The sequence below is a fragment of the Homo sapiens genome, chromosome 7 (assembly GCF_000001405.40).
Source record: "Homo sapiens chromosome 7, GRCh38.p14 Primary Assembly".
Taxonomy (NCBI): Eukaryota; Metazoa; Chordata; class Mammalia; order Primates; family Hominidae; genus Homo; species Homo sapiens.
Genome location: NC_000007.14, coordinates 157,977,669 through 157,993,662, shown reverse-complemented (window position 1 = coordinate 157,993,662; position 15,994 = coordinate 157,977,669). Strand labels below are relative to the sequence as shown.

Genomic DNA, 15,994 nt, shown 5'->3' with positions numbered 1-15,994 from the left:
GCCCCTCTCTTGCATGAAAGTGGAGCCAGGGCGGGGACTCAGGGACAGGACACCTCCCGGCTGGCCGACCTCTGGCTCTCCAGGCCTGGCAGATGATTCCGATCGCCACCTCCCCATGTTTCCTGAGCCCTCATGGGAGTTTCTGGAAGCTTCCCACTGCTCTTTCTCTTCTGTGGTTCCTGGCCCTGGGTGGACGCGTCATGGAAATTACATTTCTGAAAGGGGAGGAAAAAAAAGCACATGGGGTATGTCCTGGCTCTGACCAGGTACGGGATGTCCCCGTGGGGTCTTTTTTTGCGGAGGCTCAGGGCTGCTTAGGTGGTTTTTTTTTTTAATTTCATAAAGTCATACAACCTAGGAAAAAATCTATTTTCCTCTTTTGTCCTTGGTCTTAATGTGAACACGGACAGGTACGCACCGATATAGGAAACCTGCTCTTCAGAGAAATCCGAATCTATTTACGTTTTGATAGAAAATCTTATGAGCCGCCCATAATATGTTGTGGGAAAATGAGTTAGAGCTCGTGATCAGAAAATGGAAAGTTGCAGCTCACACCTCAATAGAGGCCACCCACCTGCGATGATCCTCCTGAAGCGTGGCCTGTGGGAGGGGACTGTGACCTGGGCAGACCCCGTGGGCTCCGTCATAAGGGAACACCTCCCAGTAAGACGGGGGCTCCAGGCTCAGGCGCCCAAACCACAGCTCCCCACTGGGAGTGACCCGGCCGCCACGCGTCTGTCTCCTGGCGTCTGTGTGTCCCCTTCAAGGGGCCTGCGTGGGCAAAACTGAAGATACTGTCTATGCTTCCTGAGCAGAAGGAGCCAAAAGGTCTTCCCATCGCATACTTCTTCTTAGATTTAGGCGTGGGCAGTGATTCCAGCTGGACTCTGGAGGACAGTCCACAAGCTCGGCTGTCCTGTGGCCACGGTGCCTGGGGGCTCCTGGTGGAGTGTGACCCCCCACATCTGCCTCTGCTCCCTGCTCTCTGTTGGGCCACCCCAACCCCTCCAGGGGACCCCCAGATAAAGGCTTGTGTGCACTGGTGTTTTCCAGAGCAGAAAATCCTCTACAGCTTTTGTGTTTTATTTTGTTTTGTTTTATTTTTATTTAGTTCTGTGTATTCTAATGTGTTATTAAAACCTTAGCACCATAAGGCGCTGATTTCAGGAGCCCTCCTGTTAGAATGAGGTGGTGCTGAGAGACCCACTCAGTACAGACCGTGTGGCCGGTCCCCCAACCTGCCAGCTCTTCCCACAGGCAGAAGCTCAGAGGCTGCAAGGGACTCCGTGGCCATGGCGATTCCACTCCCAACTCATCCTGGAGAGCGAGAGACTCGGGGCCATGAGCAGCCCCTCTTTCCAGAGAACGTGTCGCCATGCAGTCTTTGATCACGTTTAAATGAACAAAATTTGGGTGTTTTGTTTTCATGGAACTCACCTTTAGGGTGGCCTTCTCACAGCAATGATTCTGCTTTTCATTTACAGTAGTGATACACAATTTTCCATGTATTAGATGATATAATTAAAAAGTGAGGCTTTAAAAACATACTGAGTGCCTGACAGCTCGGGTGGCACATGGGGACCACCAGTCTCCCTGGGCGAATGGGCTGTGGGCCGAGTCCCGGCACTCAGGCGTCTGTTCTCAAATACTGGCTGGAGCCTCCTGCATGTCTGGGCTGTGCCTGTGCTGGCCTGATGGTGATGGAGGCCCTGACTGTCATGCAGGCCTGCGAGGGGCACGGGCTGTGACCGATGCTGGGAGCCTTTTTTGAGCCCCGGGAGGGTCTGATCTCACTCCTGCTCAGCGCTTAGGTGCCCTTGGCCTCGTCCTGGGTCCCCAGCCTTGGGTGCATCACTTCTGGGAGGGTCTAATCTCACTCTTGCTTGGTGCTTAGGTGCCCTTGGCCTTGTCCTGGGTCCCCAGCCTTGGGTGTGTCACTTGCTGGGATCTGCTGAGAACAGCCCCGTGCAGCTCTCACCCCAACACTCCCTGTAGCCCATCTCCACAGATCCTCACTGGGTCCCAGGCAGGCTGCAAGTCTGTGCTAGCTCCAGGGTTTAACAGGAAACAGGTCCGCCCTCCCTCGCCCTCCCTCACCCTCCCTCAGCCAGAGGGAAACCGGCCCTGAGTTTCTGTGCCCTGCACGGGCAGCACCCGGTGCCACCAGGGCTCTGTGAGTTTCCTTCAGTGAAGAGGACGTGTAGAGGAGCTGGGTGGGGCCAGGACTCCACCAGGAAGTGCAGGCCGGGCCCACGGCATTGGGTTCATAACAAGTGGCAAGACCCATTTGTCAAAGAGAATCTGTTCCTGGTTAGGAAAAGGAAACCTCAGAAATGCCGGCCATTGCCCTTTTTAAAGTGTCTCTGTGGCAGGAATTGTCCGGGTACTTTCTTGGGGATCCCCTTAGCCACCCTCCGAGGATGGGATTGCGACTCCCATCACAGGGAGACTGAGAAACAGCAGAGCCCGTCATGCCCCAGCCTGTTGCCCTGTGCTGCATCAGGCTGGGTGCCTCTCAGGGAAGCTCGGTCGCCTTGGCTTGTGACAGGCTGGAGCATATCCAGCAGCCCTGGCAGTGGAGATAGCAGTGCCCCTGCATCCACACCCCAAAGCCTGGCAGTGGAGATGAGCAGTGCCCTCATGTCCACACCCCGCACACCTTCAGAGTCAGACGTGGACTCTGGCCAGGGCCAGGGAAGTTCGCTGGACTCTGGGGATCTGGGGCACATCTTGCTGGCAGGGTTGACACCAGCAGCTCTCTCTGCCTGACTGGAGACTCGGCCCCCCTCCCCAGTCCTCCTCGGTAAGCGCTGGGACTGGGCTGGTCACTCCTGCCTGTCCATTCACTCACCCACTGTGCGCCAAGTCCTCCCTCCCACTGTATCGGAGGGAAGCTCGGTGACATTCCAGTGTCCTAGTCCACGTGCTTTGTGCCCCAGGCAGCCCCAGCTCCTGAGCACCGGCCCAGCAACATGAGAGGCTGTTTCCTGGGACTTCACTGGGAAGGGGACCAGCATGTCCTACTGTCAGCACCGCCCTGAGCCCTGACCCCCAGCCTGCCCTGCTCCCCCATCCACCGATGTCTCCTCCCTTGCCTTGTGTCGCTCTCCCCCTGCCCAGAACTTGCCAGAGGTGGGTGCAGGGCGGGGACCGTTGGGCATGGTGGCATGGAGTGTGGCCCAAGCCTTGGGGAGAGGGTGGGTGGGGGTGCCCTGAAGGAAGGAGAACCTGGATCCCAGAGGACTTGGAGCCCCTGGAGGCCACCCCTGTGCGCAGGTGCCGTGATGCATTCCTGGCCCGTGCCCAATCTCTGCTGCACCTGTCCCCGTCCCTCCCCTCTGTGCTCCAGGTCACTCGCCTGCTTGGGAAGCTGTGTCGCTACACGACCCTGGATCCTGCTTATGATCTGTTGAACTCCACGAGTGCCCGGTCTTCCCCGGTGGCGCTCATGAATTATTTATCTGGGCCCGCTCTGCCCTGGGCTCGCACTCACATTAACTCGTGTCCCCAGCTGCAGCTTCACCTGGGCTTGTTTTCGTCTCGGTGTATTTGGAGCGCAGAAGAGCAACTTGCATTTTTCTTCATAGAGGGATGGAGGGCAGGTTTTGTTGAGAAATACAAATTTGATTTATTTCCAAGAAAACAACTTTTACTGTCAAAGAAGGGACACGAAGCAGCTCTGCATTTGGCAGCCCCCAGAAGAGTTTTCTTTGCAGCTAATGAGGAGGAGGGGGAGAAGGCAGGTCAGCGCAGCCCTGGGCAGGGCGGGGTGGGATGCGGGGGCAGAGACCTTGGCCGAGTGTGGAAGGAACACAGCCAGCAGGCGGGGGATTGGGCAGAAGGCCTGCCCTGACCTCTCAATGCTGCTTCCCTTGAGTTACCTGAGCCCCGGTTTCCCATCTGTGAAGTGGGGTGGACATGACAAGGATGTGTCATTCCGGCCCGTCAGGTACCCGAAGGTGAGGTGGCACCCGCCCCCGCTGCCTCCCCCAGACCATGGTGTCCAGCAGAATCATGGCTAAGCAGCCACGAAGGCACCCACCCCCCTCATCCCTCCACCCCTTAGACGCACTTGGTCAGAGCGGTGCAGAAAGGAAAGGGCTACAGCAGCCCTCGTCCCTCCGACCCAGCCACAGATGGTGCCCCCCACAAGACTCCGCTTTCTTCTGCCCTCTGAGTCTTACCCCCTTATGAAAACCGCTGTCTTTCTTTCTTTTCTTTTTCTCTTTTCTTTTCTTTTTTCTAAGGTGTGGTCTTGCTCTGTCACCCAGGCTGGAGTGCAGTAGTGCAATCTCGGCTCACTGCAGCTTAGACCTCCTGGGCTCAGGCGATCCTCCCACCTCAGCCTCTCGAGTAGCTGGGACTGCAGGCATGCGCCACCACGCCTAGCTTAACTTTTATATTTTTAGTAGAGACAGAGTTTCACCATGTTGCCCAGGCTGGTCTCAAACTCCTGGGCTTAAGTGATCTGCCTGCCTCAGCCTCCCAAAGTGCTGGGATTACAGGCATGAACCACTGTGCCTGGCCAAAAACCACGGTCTTTCGACTCAGCCTGAGCTGTGCCGGGATCTTCTTGCCCATTCAGCCTCCAGCCCGGGGGTATCTGCACCTTTAGAATGTCAGTTCCTTAGCGCAGAGGAATGTGTTATAGCGGTAGGAGTTCAGGATTTAGGTCTTGCCTTTTTCTTCATTTAACTGGCATGAAAGAGACATGTTTGCATATGAGGACACAGAGGGTGTCCCTGATTTTCCTCAGGTCACACTGCCCATTCCTGGCTTTAGACACAGATGTGAGAAGGGGATGCACCCCAAGAATGGGACACGGGTGTGGCGATGCTGCCCAGAGCAGCCCTGCCCAGGGTGCAGCCCAGCACTGACATTCTGCACCCCACTGGGGGCCAGGAAACAACCCCTTTCTTGTAGGTGGTTTTTTAGAAAGTGTGGACGTGCATGACCTGTGGACCGGGTCATGGGCATTTCTCGCCTGTGCATCCCTCCCCCGGTTCCCTCCAGCCCCCCTGTGCTCCCTGGGGCTTGCAGACTGAGTCTTCCAAAGGGTTTGCACCCGTCTGACTCACTGTTGTTACTTATAGTAGCACTAAGAAGGGTCCCTGATTCATCACTGTTCTGATGTACACACCTGCCCGGGAATGCGTTTGGTGTGTTTGGTCTATCAGCACGTGAAAGACAGGGAACCCTCCTGTGGGGCCATGTCAAGACGTGCAGGCAGGACACTGTCCTCTGCTCTGGAGGTTCAGTTGCTTTAGCTGGGCCCGGCCACTGCAAACCAGCCTCAGGAGAGCTGGGGGCACGCCTGGGAGTTGCAACATGTGGCAATTTAGGGGGAAATGAGAGAGAGAGACAGAGACTGCACTGATAATTCTCCGTGTGACCAAAGCACAAAGAAGCCTGTCTTTGGGAGACAAGCTGGAAATGGCCAGGACGCCAGTGGGGGCTCCGGGGAGAGACAGCATGGTGTTCCCTGGTGCTCCCATGGTGCCACAGGACATGCATCACTCACAGTCCACAAACAATTCGGGAAAGGCAGGGAACGCAGCTTCTCCTCTCCGTCTGCATGAGGCAGCTTTGACCCTGGCTTGGAGAAGACAAAAGGGGGAGTGGTGAGGACTCCGGTCCCCTGCATGTCCGGACAGTGTTCTCTGGATCCCTGCTGCAGTAACGCAGGGAATGGCAGGTGTGGGGAGAGCTGGGGGCATCAGTGATGTCCGGAGACCCTTCTCTGGATCCCTGCTGCATTAACGTGGGGAATGGCAGGTGTGGGGAGAGCTGGGGGCATCAGTGATGGAGGTGTCAGAAGTGATGGGGCCACCCCACTGGGATGCTGCATTGAAAAGCAGATTCCCTATTGCCCTGAATGTCCCACTTTCTGCAGAATGGATGTTCTTAGTCCCCCATCCGCTCTGTAACTGTGGATCCCACACTGCATAATAACTGCCCCATCTCTAGAGAAAGACTGATAGCATTTAGGACAGGCCCGAGGAACCTGTATTCCAACTGTTCACCCAGTGTGAACAAAACCAGCAGGCCGCTTCCTCCAGCTATTCAGCATCCAGACATAAAACTCAGCAGTGGGACCAGGCAGCTCCTGCTGTCCACCGGGTCTGCTCTGCCCCTGGGAAGTCTCTTATGCAAGAGATAATGACTGACAGGTCATCACACCCTATTAGTGACCGGACACTACGCCCCCATTAATGACCTGTCATCTCACCCCGTTTAGTGACCGATCACCCCATTAGTGAGGGGTCATATTGCCCCCGTTAGTGACCGGTTGTCTCACCCCCACTAGTGACTGGTCATCACGCCCCCTTTCCCTTTAGTGACTGGTAACCTCGCCCCCTTTAGTGACCGGTCATCTTGCCCCCGTTTAGGTTCCAGTAAGCTCCACACAGCACCTTACCTTAAGGGAGGAAGAGATTTCAGAAGCAGATCTGGACACTTCGTGCTTCCTAATCCCAGGAAGAAATGGAATCTCTGTGTTGCCGACCAAGCGTGGGCGGCGTGCTGGGGCAGTGCAGCTGTTTCATGGCTGGCTGTGACCTTCACGGGCTCATTCCCCACTGGCTGGTGGAGGGGGATCATCACTCCCTAGATGTGTACCGGCAGCTACTCCAGTGCATGAACCCGTTATATCCTAAAGCGGGGTTCTCCTGGGACACAGGTGAACCCCAGCGTGTCCAGCAGCCTCCCTCTCACTGCGGCTATAGCTGATACCGTGCAAATGACCCCAAAGTCACTGGGCCCCCTCGCTCCAGATTCACTCTGGAGGGTCCTGGAGGAGGGGTGGAGTGGGTCAGAAACCGGCAGCTCCTGTCAGTGGGTGGGCACCGACCACCTGCTCCAAAATGTCTCCTCTGCCCAGTTACTTCCAGTCCTGCCAACTGGATGGTCCTTGGGTTTCATTAGTTCTTCCAAGGGCAGAACCCCGTGGAAGAGTGAAGCCTTCATTATTTCTAATTTAGCACTATTGGCTTGAATCAAGCAGTCCTAATATCAAACCGTGGTAATGCTGAGTGAATGGGAATTTTGAGTGAGGACGAAAGGAAGCGTGATGTCTGAATAGTGCAGATGTCGCAGAAAGGCAGGCAGGAGGGAAAGGACCACAGAGAGGAGATGCCACCTGGGAGAGGCAGGCATGGCCTGTGCTTGGGGAGATGGAGACGGATGCAGCCAGTTCTGACCTCCAGCCCCACCTCTGCCACTGACCACGGTGACCACACACGGGGTGCCCTGCCTCTCTGGGCGTCAGTTTCTGCGTGTCTACAAGGAAGCAATTGGACTAGCTGACCTCTCAGGCCATTATCTGCCGCCAGAGTCCATGGTCCTAAAGCGAAGCCTCATCCGCTTGGCAGTCTTGCCTGGGTCCTAGTGGTGGAGCCTTCACGTTGCCTCACATCCAACAGTGACTCGTCAGAGGCAGACATACTTGCTGGCAGCTTTGCAGCACCCTCTCCATAGCTTCCCCCGGACATACGAGAGCGGGGCTGTAGATGAGGGTATCTATCTCATGCTATTGCCTCACTGAGCACCAGAGAAGATGGTCAGAACCCCTCCCTCCTCCCACCTCCATCCATCTGGAAGCAGGAAGTGTGTTTGTGTTCTGGCCTTTCTCTTGTCAGTAGTGAGAGATTCGTTACATTTCAACCCCAAGCATTTCACATGCGGTGGCATCTTGGAGGAGCTTTCTAAGCGAGGCCGGGTCTCGTCAGCCAGGTGGGCTGTCTGGCTGGTCTCCCTGCTCTCGAGATTCAACCCCAAGCATTTCACACGCGGTGGCATCTTGGAGGAGCTTTCTGAGCGAGGCCGGGTCTCGTCAGCCAGGTGGGCTATCCGGCTGGTCTCCCTGCTCTCCGGATTTGGATGCATGGTTTCCGTGCACCTCCCTCAGGAGTTTGTTCAAGAGCAGCGCTGGCTGTGCAGTGAGTAGAAAACACACTTGCTGTATCTACACAGAGAAGTTTAAAAGAACAGAAGAAGGACAGAGGCTTCAGGACCACAGTGATGGATCTGAGGGGGGCCTGAATCTTAAACCCTATCCGTATAGTCTCCAAGCAGGGATCATATATGGTATAACTACATTTTCATCTCTAATCACTGGGGCGGCATGTCAGTATCTTCTCTTTCTTTCCCATTTTGAGTGACATAGTGTGATATGTCTAATGACAACTAGAACAAATTCTGGTAATGAGGTCACCTTGGGCCAGGATGACTGTCTGACGGCTGTTTTCCATAGAAATTACTTGTGAAGGCACACCACACACACAGAATGGCTTCCTCCAAGTGTAGGTGTCAACAGGCAAATATGCTAAACTCGCAAGATGGAAGTGGCTTGCCCGGTCTCTCTAGTTTAGACCGATAAATTGGTCTACATTGAGAGAGCTGCTGCTTTTTTCTAAAAAAAGAGTGATTGGTTGTGATTATTTAGTTTCCTCCAGGTGCACGCTTTTTATGTGGAATGCACTGGATGGCTTAAATGCAAGTAGGGCCCAAACATCTGATGTCACTTTGTTAAAGGGAGTGTTGAGTGAGCACAGTCGACGCTCCCAGAATTGTGGAGAGGATGGCTGCAGGAGAAAGCTGTCAGTCAAGGCCCATGAACCAAGAGGAGTGCTAGAGACCACCACCTGCAGGTGGGATTTGGAAAAGGGGAAAGAAGTGTGGGCGCTCAGCCAGGGGAGTAGCACCGGGTGGGGAGCAGCACGGGGTGGGGAAGCCAGGAGGCCTCTACACAGAGAGCCTGGGCCTGAGGCCGACAGTGAGGGGCAGGAGGCCAGTGGCTGAGGCAGGGCCTAGTGCAGAAGTCAGGGGCAGACGTGAGTATTGGGCTCGCCACGTCCTGTGACTAGGGAGCTTCTGCAGGTCTTTAGAAGCGGTTGGTGGGATAAGAGCCCATGTCGGGGATGAGCTGCATGTGGGGAGAGCTGGAGTCAGGGAGAAAAGTGAACAGCCTCACCGCGTGGTCAGCTCGTGGCTGCTGAGCACAGCCCGGTGTCAGAGAGCAGGACTGAGAGTCAGCTTCATGGAGGGCGCGGCGGGAACAGCGCCAGCCCCCAGCACCCAGCAACCATCACTCACCACTCACAGGGCCCCTGGCATTCACACCCTGGCCTAGGTTTGGGAACCTTCCAGCCAGAACCGGTGCCGCTGGCTTGGGTGGAGCCTGGCGTGGGATGGGGTGGAGCCTGGCGTGGGGGGGGTGGAGCCTGGCGTGGAGCCTGGCGTGGGATGGGGTGGAGCCTGGCGTGGGGGGGTGGAGCCTGGCGTGGGGGGTGGAGCCTGGCGTGGGATTGGGTGGAGCCTGGCGTGGGATGGGGTGGAGCCTGGCGTGGGATGGGGTGGAGCCTGGCGTGGGATGGGGTGGAGCCTGGCGTGGGGGGTGGAGCCTGGCGTGGGGAGGTGGAGCCTGGCGTGGGGCGGTGGTTTCAGGTGAAGAGGACTCAGGCAGGGACGCTGGTTTACACAAGGTCATTGTTACCTGGACAACTCCCTGAGAATGATGAGAAAATATGAGCCAGAATAAAGAAGGCTGCTGGGTTCCCGGCTGTCTCCATGGCTAATGAAATGCCATTTTCCTTCTTGGTGCTTGGCTGTGCAAGTGCACCCTGTCAGGCAGATTCTCCATCTCACGGGCCCCCTGCGAGTCAGGAAGAGATGCTCGCGGCGCTGGGTGAGCCGGCTCCTCCTCAGGGATTCCAGGGAGGCTGCAGGGCTTACTGTGCCGCAGTTTCAGCAACAGCCCCAGAACATCCGTGTGTCCAGGCACCAGGACACTAGCGCTGTTGGCTCACACAGCCAGACCCACAGCTTTTGAGCTGATGAACTGCATTACGTCCAGACAATTTCCACTTAACAGTTGTCCGTAACGCTCCTCCCTGGGCCAGCAGCCACATGAGAACAACTCAGCACAGGGATTCCAGGGACTGGGTCGGCAGCACGGTCTCAAGCCTACACTCACAAGCTCACGTGTGCACACACACACGCTACTCCTCCGGGGCATGCAGGCAGCGTCCCTGAGAATCCCTGCCTCAGACTCACTCCCAGGGCTGGTGGACACATGTGGGCGGGGGCGGGGGAGGCCACAGCCCTGAAAGTCATGGGTTCAGGTTTCAGCTGTGTCAGAAGCACCTGGAAGCTGGGGTGGGATGTGATCAGCACCCTCTTCGTCTCTGTGACTCGGGGTTTTGGGGGAGACCCCGCACTCTGCATTCCCCTCCTCATCTCTATGACTCGGGGTTTAGGGGGGAACCCAGTACTCTGCATTCCCCTCCTCATCTCTATGACTCGGGGTTTAGGGGGGACCCTGCACTGCATTCTCCTCCTCGTCTCTGTGACTCGGGGTTTGGGGGGGACCCTGCACTCTGCATTCCCCTCCTCGTCTCTGTGACTCGGGGTTTGGGGGGGACCCTGCACTCTGCATTCCCCTCCTCGTCTCTGTGACTCGGGGTTTGGGGGGGACCCTGCACTCTGCATTCCCCTCCTCGTCTCTGTGACTCGGGGTTTGGGGGGGACCCTGCACTCTGCATTCCCCTCCTCGTCTCTGTGACTCGGGGTTTGGGGGGGACCCTGCACTCTGCATTCCCCTCCTCGTCTCTGTGACTCGGGGTTTGGGGGGGACCCTGCACTCTGCATTCCCCTCCTCGTCTCTGTGACTCGGGGTTTGGGGGGGACCCTGCACTCTGCATTCCCCTCCTCGTCTCTGTGACTCGGGGTTTGGGGGGAACCTGGTACTCTGCATTCCCTCCTCATCTCTGTGACTCGGGGTTTAGGGGGGAACCCGGTACTCTGCATTCCCCTCCTCATCTCTGTGACTCGGGGTTTAGGGGGGACCCTGCACTCTGCATTCCCCTCCTCGTCTCTGTGACTCGGGGTTTGGGGGGGACCCTGCACTCTGCATTCCCCTCCTCGTCTCTGTGACTCGGGGTTTAGGGGGGAACCCGGTACTCTGCATTCCCCTCCATCTCTGTGACTCGGGGTTTGGGGGGACTCTGCACTCTGCATCCCCCTCCTCGTCTCTGTGACTCGGGGTTTAGGGGGGACCCTGCACTCTGCATTCCCCTACTCGTCTCTATGACTCAGGGTTTGGGGGGACCCTGCACTCTGCATTCCCCTCCTCGTCTCTATGACTCAGGGTTTGGGGGGACCCTGCACTCTGCATTCCCCTCCTCATCTCTATGACTCAGGGTTTGGGGGGACCCTGCACTCTGCATTCCCCTCCTCGTCTCTTTGACTTGGGGTTTAGGGGGGACCCTGCACTCTGCATTCCCCTCCTCGTCTCTGTGACTCAGGGTTTGGGGGGACCCTGCACTCTGCATTCCCCTCCTTGGCTCTATGACTCAGGGTTTGGGGGGACCCTGCACTCTGCATTCCCCTCCTTGGCTCTATGACTCGGGGTTTGGGGGGACCCCGCACTCTGCATTCCCCTCCTCATCTCTGTGACTCGGGGTTTAGGGGGGACCCTGCACTCTGCATTCCCCTCCTCATCTCTGTGACTCGGGGTTTATGGGGGACGCTGCACTCTGCATTCCCCTCCTTGTCTCTGTGACTCGGGGTTTAGAGGGGACCCTGCACTCTGCATTCCCCTCCTCATCTCTATGATTTGGGGTTTGGGGGGGAACCCCACACTCTGCATTCCCCTCCTTGTCTCTATGACTCAGGGGTTCTGGGCGGTACCCTGCACTCTGCATTCCCCTCCTCATCTTTATGACTCAGGGGTTTGGGGGGACCCCACATTCTACAAATTCTAACAACCTCCAGGTGGCACCTGGCGTAAGGGCTGCATTTGGAGAACTGCTGCTTTGCAAAGCCCTTGAAGAATGGGCTGATATGATAGGGAACTGGTGTTATATTAACTCAAAGCCTTCACATCATAGCTTGTGCCTTTCCGAAGTATTGCTAATTAATTAACTTGGAAACGCCCAAGGGTCATTTTAGATCAAACCTTATTTTATGAAATAGATGTAGGTTATGAGCCAATAAAATTTTGATACATTGAAGTCATTAAATCATTTGGTACACTGAGTTATTTTTTAAAATAAAGTAAACTGAATTACTACAAAAAAAAATGGAATCACTCCCTGTTAAATTAACTGAATGAAAGGGAAAAGCTCCTTTTAAAACAGGAAAGAAACTATTGTTTTTACTATTTTATCAATGACTGGAGTCAAATTTGTGTGTGTGTTGGTGTGTTGAATATATTGATTGGTTTAGTTGAAGTTGAGTTTCATCTGTCCTGGAATAGCAGGAGTTTGAGCAGTTTCACCCGTCCCGGAATAGCAGGAGTTTGAGCAGTTTCACCTGTCCTGGAATAGCAGGAGTTTGAGCAGTTTCACCTGTCCTGGAATAGCATCACCGACTATGGAAGCCTTCTCCATGTCTCGTCCACACACATTATTGTCTAAATGGTTCTGGTGACACCACTGTCTGCAGTTCCTCTGAATTTGTATAAGGACCAAGAAATGTGTGGGTTCTTGCAAACTCTGAGGTCACTCTTAGGGTAAAAGGCTGTTTATCCACTCAACTTTGGTATATGAGGAGCCTTTCTGCAAGTTACTGATCTAACTGTGTGAGTGCCTGACAACACAGCCAGAGTGCGCAGGGCATCACCAGTGCCCGTGTGGGAGGCGGGGCTCCGTGGGAACTGGCTACTTACCCCCCACCTGTCCCCAGAGCCCGTGTGGGAGGCGGGGTTTGGTGGGAACTGGCTACTTATCCCTCCCCTGTCCCCAGTGCCCGTGTGGGAGGTGGGGCTTGGTGGGAACTGGCTGATCATGTCACTTCTTTAAGCCTGGGTTTCCTCAGGCTTAAAGGGAGGAGCGTCTGCCTACTTTCCAAGGCTGTGGGCAGATGTGATGCTAATACAATCACGTAGTATCTTTTATTTATTTATTTTTTTGAGATGGAGTCTTGCTCTGTTGCTCAGGCTGGAGTGCAGTGGCATGATCTCGGCTCACTTGCAACCTCCGCCCAGCCAGGTTCAAGTGATTCTCCTGCCTCAGTCTCCCAAGTAGCTGGGACTACAGGCACGTGCCACCATGCCCAGCTAATTTTTATAGTTTTAGTAGAGACGGGGTTTTGCCATGTTGGCCAGGCTGGTCTCGAAGTCCTGACCTCAAGTGACTCCCCACCTCGGCCTCCCAAAGTGCTGGGATGACAGGTGTGAGCCACCGTGCCCGGCCAATCACAGGGTATCTATGGCTGTATCTTATGGCTGCTCAGTCCTAGAAGTTTCTTTTCCAACTCCGACAAATAGCTGGAGTAATTTAGTTTGGCTTTGAAACACTTGACTGAATTTCTAAGATATTTGGAGAATGTTCTTCCCTGTAAGTTGACATAAAAAGAGACAGTGGTTTAAGAACTTTCTTACTCAGATGCAGAGATACTGAATTACCCTCTGGTGTGCAGCCTGCCTATGAAGTTTGCATCTCAGCCTGCATAAAATGAATACCCTGATCAACAAGTTCCTGTTTTGCAGAGAAACCTCAGTGATGTAATAATATGGTCATGATTTCCATCAGTACTGAATTTTTACCAAGTCATCAAAATGTGATGGTCACTGAAACTTAATGAAATGAGGATTACATTTCAAAGACTAAGGAGTCCTCAGTGATTATCTTTATGAGGCTTTTGGGGGATCCTTGTATTGCTGAGGAAATAGACTCTATTAGTTATCTGATGCTATACAACACACTACCCCGAACTCACCAGCTTCGTTCCTGTTGTCACAGATCCCCCAGCTGCCCAGTCGGGGGCTCTGGCTCTGGGACTCACATGAGGGTATGGTTGGCTTGCTGGCCTGGGCTGCGATTGAGCAGGAAGCTGAGGGACCTCTTATGCCTGTGCATCACGCACTGTATTCTATGCAACGGATGCGAGTCATAAAGTCCAGCCCATACCTCCAAGGACCGGCATTCAGCGGCACCCCCTGCAGAGAGCAGAATACATAAGCAGGCGTTGTCAGCCACCGGGAGCACCAGAGGTAGATAAAGGAACCGGAGGCAGCGTCGCTCTGGAGCCGGGCTGCATGGCTCTTCTGTGTAGTGACCAAGTCATCTGGACCAGCTGCCTCAGTTTCCCTATCTGCAAAATGTGGGCTCCCATAGTGTCTGCATTAGAGGACTGTCATGTGTTAAATGTGATGTGAGAACTTAGAATCATGACCAGTGCATAGCGGACACTCAGCAACGTGCAGTTGCCAGTGTCACCGTCATCACCACCATTGCTGCTGCAGCCACAGCGACGTGAAGTGTTTTCTCAGATGTGGAATGTTCTTAACTTTGGTGGTTTTTCCAGAGAAAACCATGGATTAAAGGATAATATTTTCTAAACTGAGAGTTAGCATGTCTTTCTATTGGGAATTTCATTCCCTGATAACTTAAGCAATGTCCTCTCATCTCCTTCAGGTATTTTGAACATTTAAAACATTTTTCTTTTTTTTTCTATCCATTCAGCAGACATTCATTAGCCATCTGCTGTGGACTGGGCCCTGTAGTAGGTTCTGGTTGTACACAGAAAGAGAAACAATCCCTCCTGCCAGGGCCGCGGGGGCGATGGGAGATGGCAGGTAGGCAAGGCCAAGCAGGTGCAGTAGGCCTGGGGGAGGGCGGCCCTTGGTGTATGCAGCTCTGGATCCTGGCCTTGCCAGTGCTCTGCAGAGTCAACTCCAGAGAGCCACCCCCCTCTGGGCCTTCCGCTGGGCAGGTGTCGTAGACAAGAACATCCAGCCTTGTGAGTCGCCAGGAAGGCCCAGGGGATGTCTTTCTCCCATCATGGCGCTATGCTTCCTGGGGTCTCGTCTGTCAGCCCCACGAGCAGTGAGGTTGGCCCCAAAACCAGGACCGACTTCACCACGAATGCAACCTCACTGTGACAGAAAATCAGGGGAAAAGGCTTCCCTTGAGGAAGGGAACAGAAAGTGTGCAGTCCCAGAGGGAAGTGGGGGAGCTGAGGACTCTTGTTCAGAAAGAATCATCACTGGGGACCCCTGAGCTGGATCAGCTGCTCACCTCTGAGCAAAGTCTAGTTCTGGCTTCTGCTTTCATGAGTGTTTGTGACTTTGAAGGGTTTGTTAAAGATGCCAGCATTAAGACCTTTTCATTATTTTCACAAATGCTGTAGCTTTAGGTGTGAATGAATGGACTTGCCTTGCCAGAAACTGTCTTGAGCTCAAAAGCTTTCAAAAGAGTAAAAGACTCAGAGCATTGCTAAACAATTTCCCGAATGGTCCCTGGCTTTGCTTAGGAAGGACGTGAAGCCATAGTATCTTGCTGTGTCTTGTCTAGGAGGAAGTGTTTGGCTCTTGAAAAGAAAGGCCAAAAGACATGCGGTCAGCATAAGACGTCTTTGCAAAGCCACTCCTGACGGCGGAGATGGCGGCAGCACCACACGGGAGCTGTTTGAGAAGCAGATCAGGCAGAGTTTCACCGATGTCTGAGAGCTAGTTTCACAGCCCTGTGCCAGAGGAGCCGTGTCTTCCACAAAACACACCTGAGAGCTGGTTTCAGACTTTCCGGGAAACTGCCCTGGCCCAAGGCATCTGTAAACCTCTTTTATCCTAATTAGTGGTAACAATTCAGGTCCACCTGACCTGTCATTGGCCTTTTTAGAAAACTCCTTGGTATTTAGTCTGTAGATGTGCATGCGACGTACAGGGAGTTCAGGATCTGTTGTGGGCCTAGTTACCAAAGGTGCCTGAGCCTGCTGCCTGCGGCGGTGAGTCCTGCCGGCCCACAGACACATCGGGAAGCTGACCTCCTTCCCTCCTCCTCAGCCACGACTCTTGTCCCAGCTGCCACCAGTCTTGTCAGGGTGATCCCCCTTCCTGCTCCCCCAGCAGCAGCAACAGGGAGCTCTTAGGTGTCACTAGATCTTCAAGTGTCCCTGCTGCAGCCTCTCGAGATGGTACCAGATCCTACCTCTCACTTCCTCCCGCCCCCACCTCCCCTGCTCACAGGTACTGGACAGAGCAGCATTCTCTCTG

The 15,994-nt window shown here is 54.6% G+C and overlaps 1 protein-coding gene and 1 long non-coding RNA gene across 11 annotated transcripts in view, besides 4 other annotated features; one reads left to right on the top strand and one right to left on the bottom strand.

Moving 5' to 3' along the window:
• PTPRN2 (protein tyrosine phosphatase receptor type N2) overlaps positions 1–15,994 on the top strand; it is a 1,048,768-nt gene that overhangs the window by 594,161 nt on the left and 438,613 nt on the right. The window lies entirely within an intron of this gene.
• Positions 1,943–2,542: an enhancer, noted in NCBI's record as "H3K27ac-H3K4me1 hESC enhancer chr7:157783813-157784412 (GRCh37/hg19 assembly coordinates)". NCBI's record gives its function as "activates a minimal SCP1, AML or CMV promoter by ChIP-STARR-seq in primed H9 embryonic stem cells {active_cell/tissue: H9 hESC(primed)}" and the evidence as "EXISTENCE:reporter gene assay evidence [ECO:0000049][PMID:30033119]".
• Positions 2,543–3,142: an enhancer, noted in NCBI's record as "H3K27ac-H3K4me1 hESC enhancer chr7:157783213-157783812 (GRCh37/hg19 assembly coordinates)". NCBI's record gives its function as "activates a minimal SCP1, AML or CMV promoter by ChIP-STARR-seq in primed H9 embryonic stem cells {active_cell/tissue: H9 hESC(primed)}" and the evidence as "EXISTENCE:reporter gene assay evidence [ECO:0000049][PMID:30033119]".
• Positions 3,743–4,342: an enhancer, noted in NCBI's record as "H3K4me1 hESC enhancer chr7:157782013-157782612 (GRCh37/hg19 assembly coordinates)". NCBI's record gives its function as "activates a minimal SCP1, AML or CMV promoter by ChIP-STARR-seq in naive H9 embryonic stem cells {active_cell/tissue: H9 hESC(naive)}" and the evidence as "EXISTENCE:reporter gene assay evidence [ECO:0000049][PMID:30033119]".
• On the bottom strand, positions 4,623–6,503 carry LOC105375613 (uncharacterized). Its single transcript, XR_928274.3, has 3 exons — positions 6,419–6,503; positions 5,522–5,596; positions 4,623–4,695 (listed from the first exon to the last, which is right to left on the bottom strand). It is a non-coding gene; the product is annotated as an uncharacterized LOC105375613 (long non-coding RNA).
• Positions 10,401–11,346: an enhancer, noted in NCBI's record as "H3K27ac-H3K4me1 hESC enhancer chr7:157775009-157775954 (GRCh37/hg19 assembly coordinates)". NCBI's record gives its function as "activates a minimal SCP1, AML or CMV promoter by ChIP-STARR-seq in primed H9 embryonic stem cells {active_cell/tissue: H9 hESC(primed)}" and the evidence as "EXISTENCE:reporter gene assay evidence [ECO:0000049][PMID:30033119]".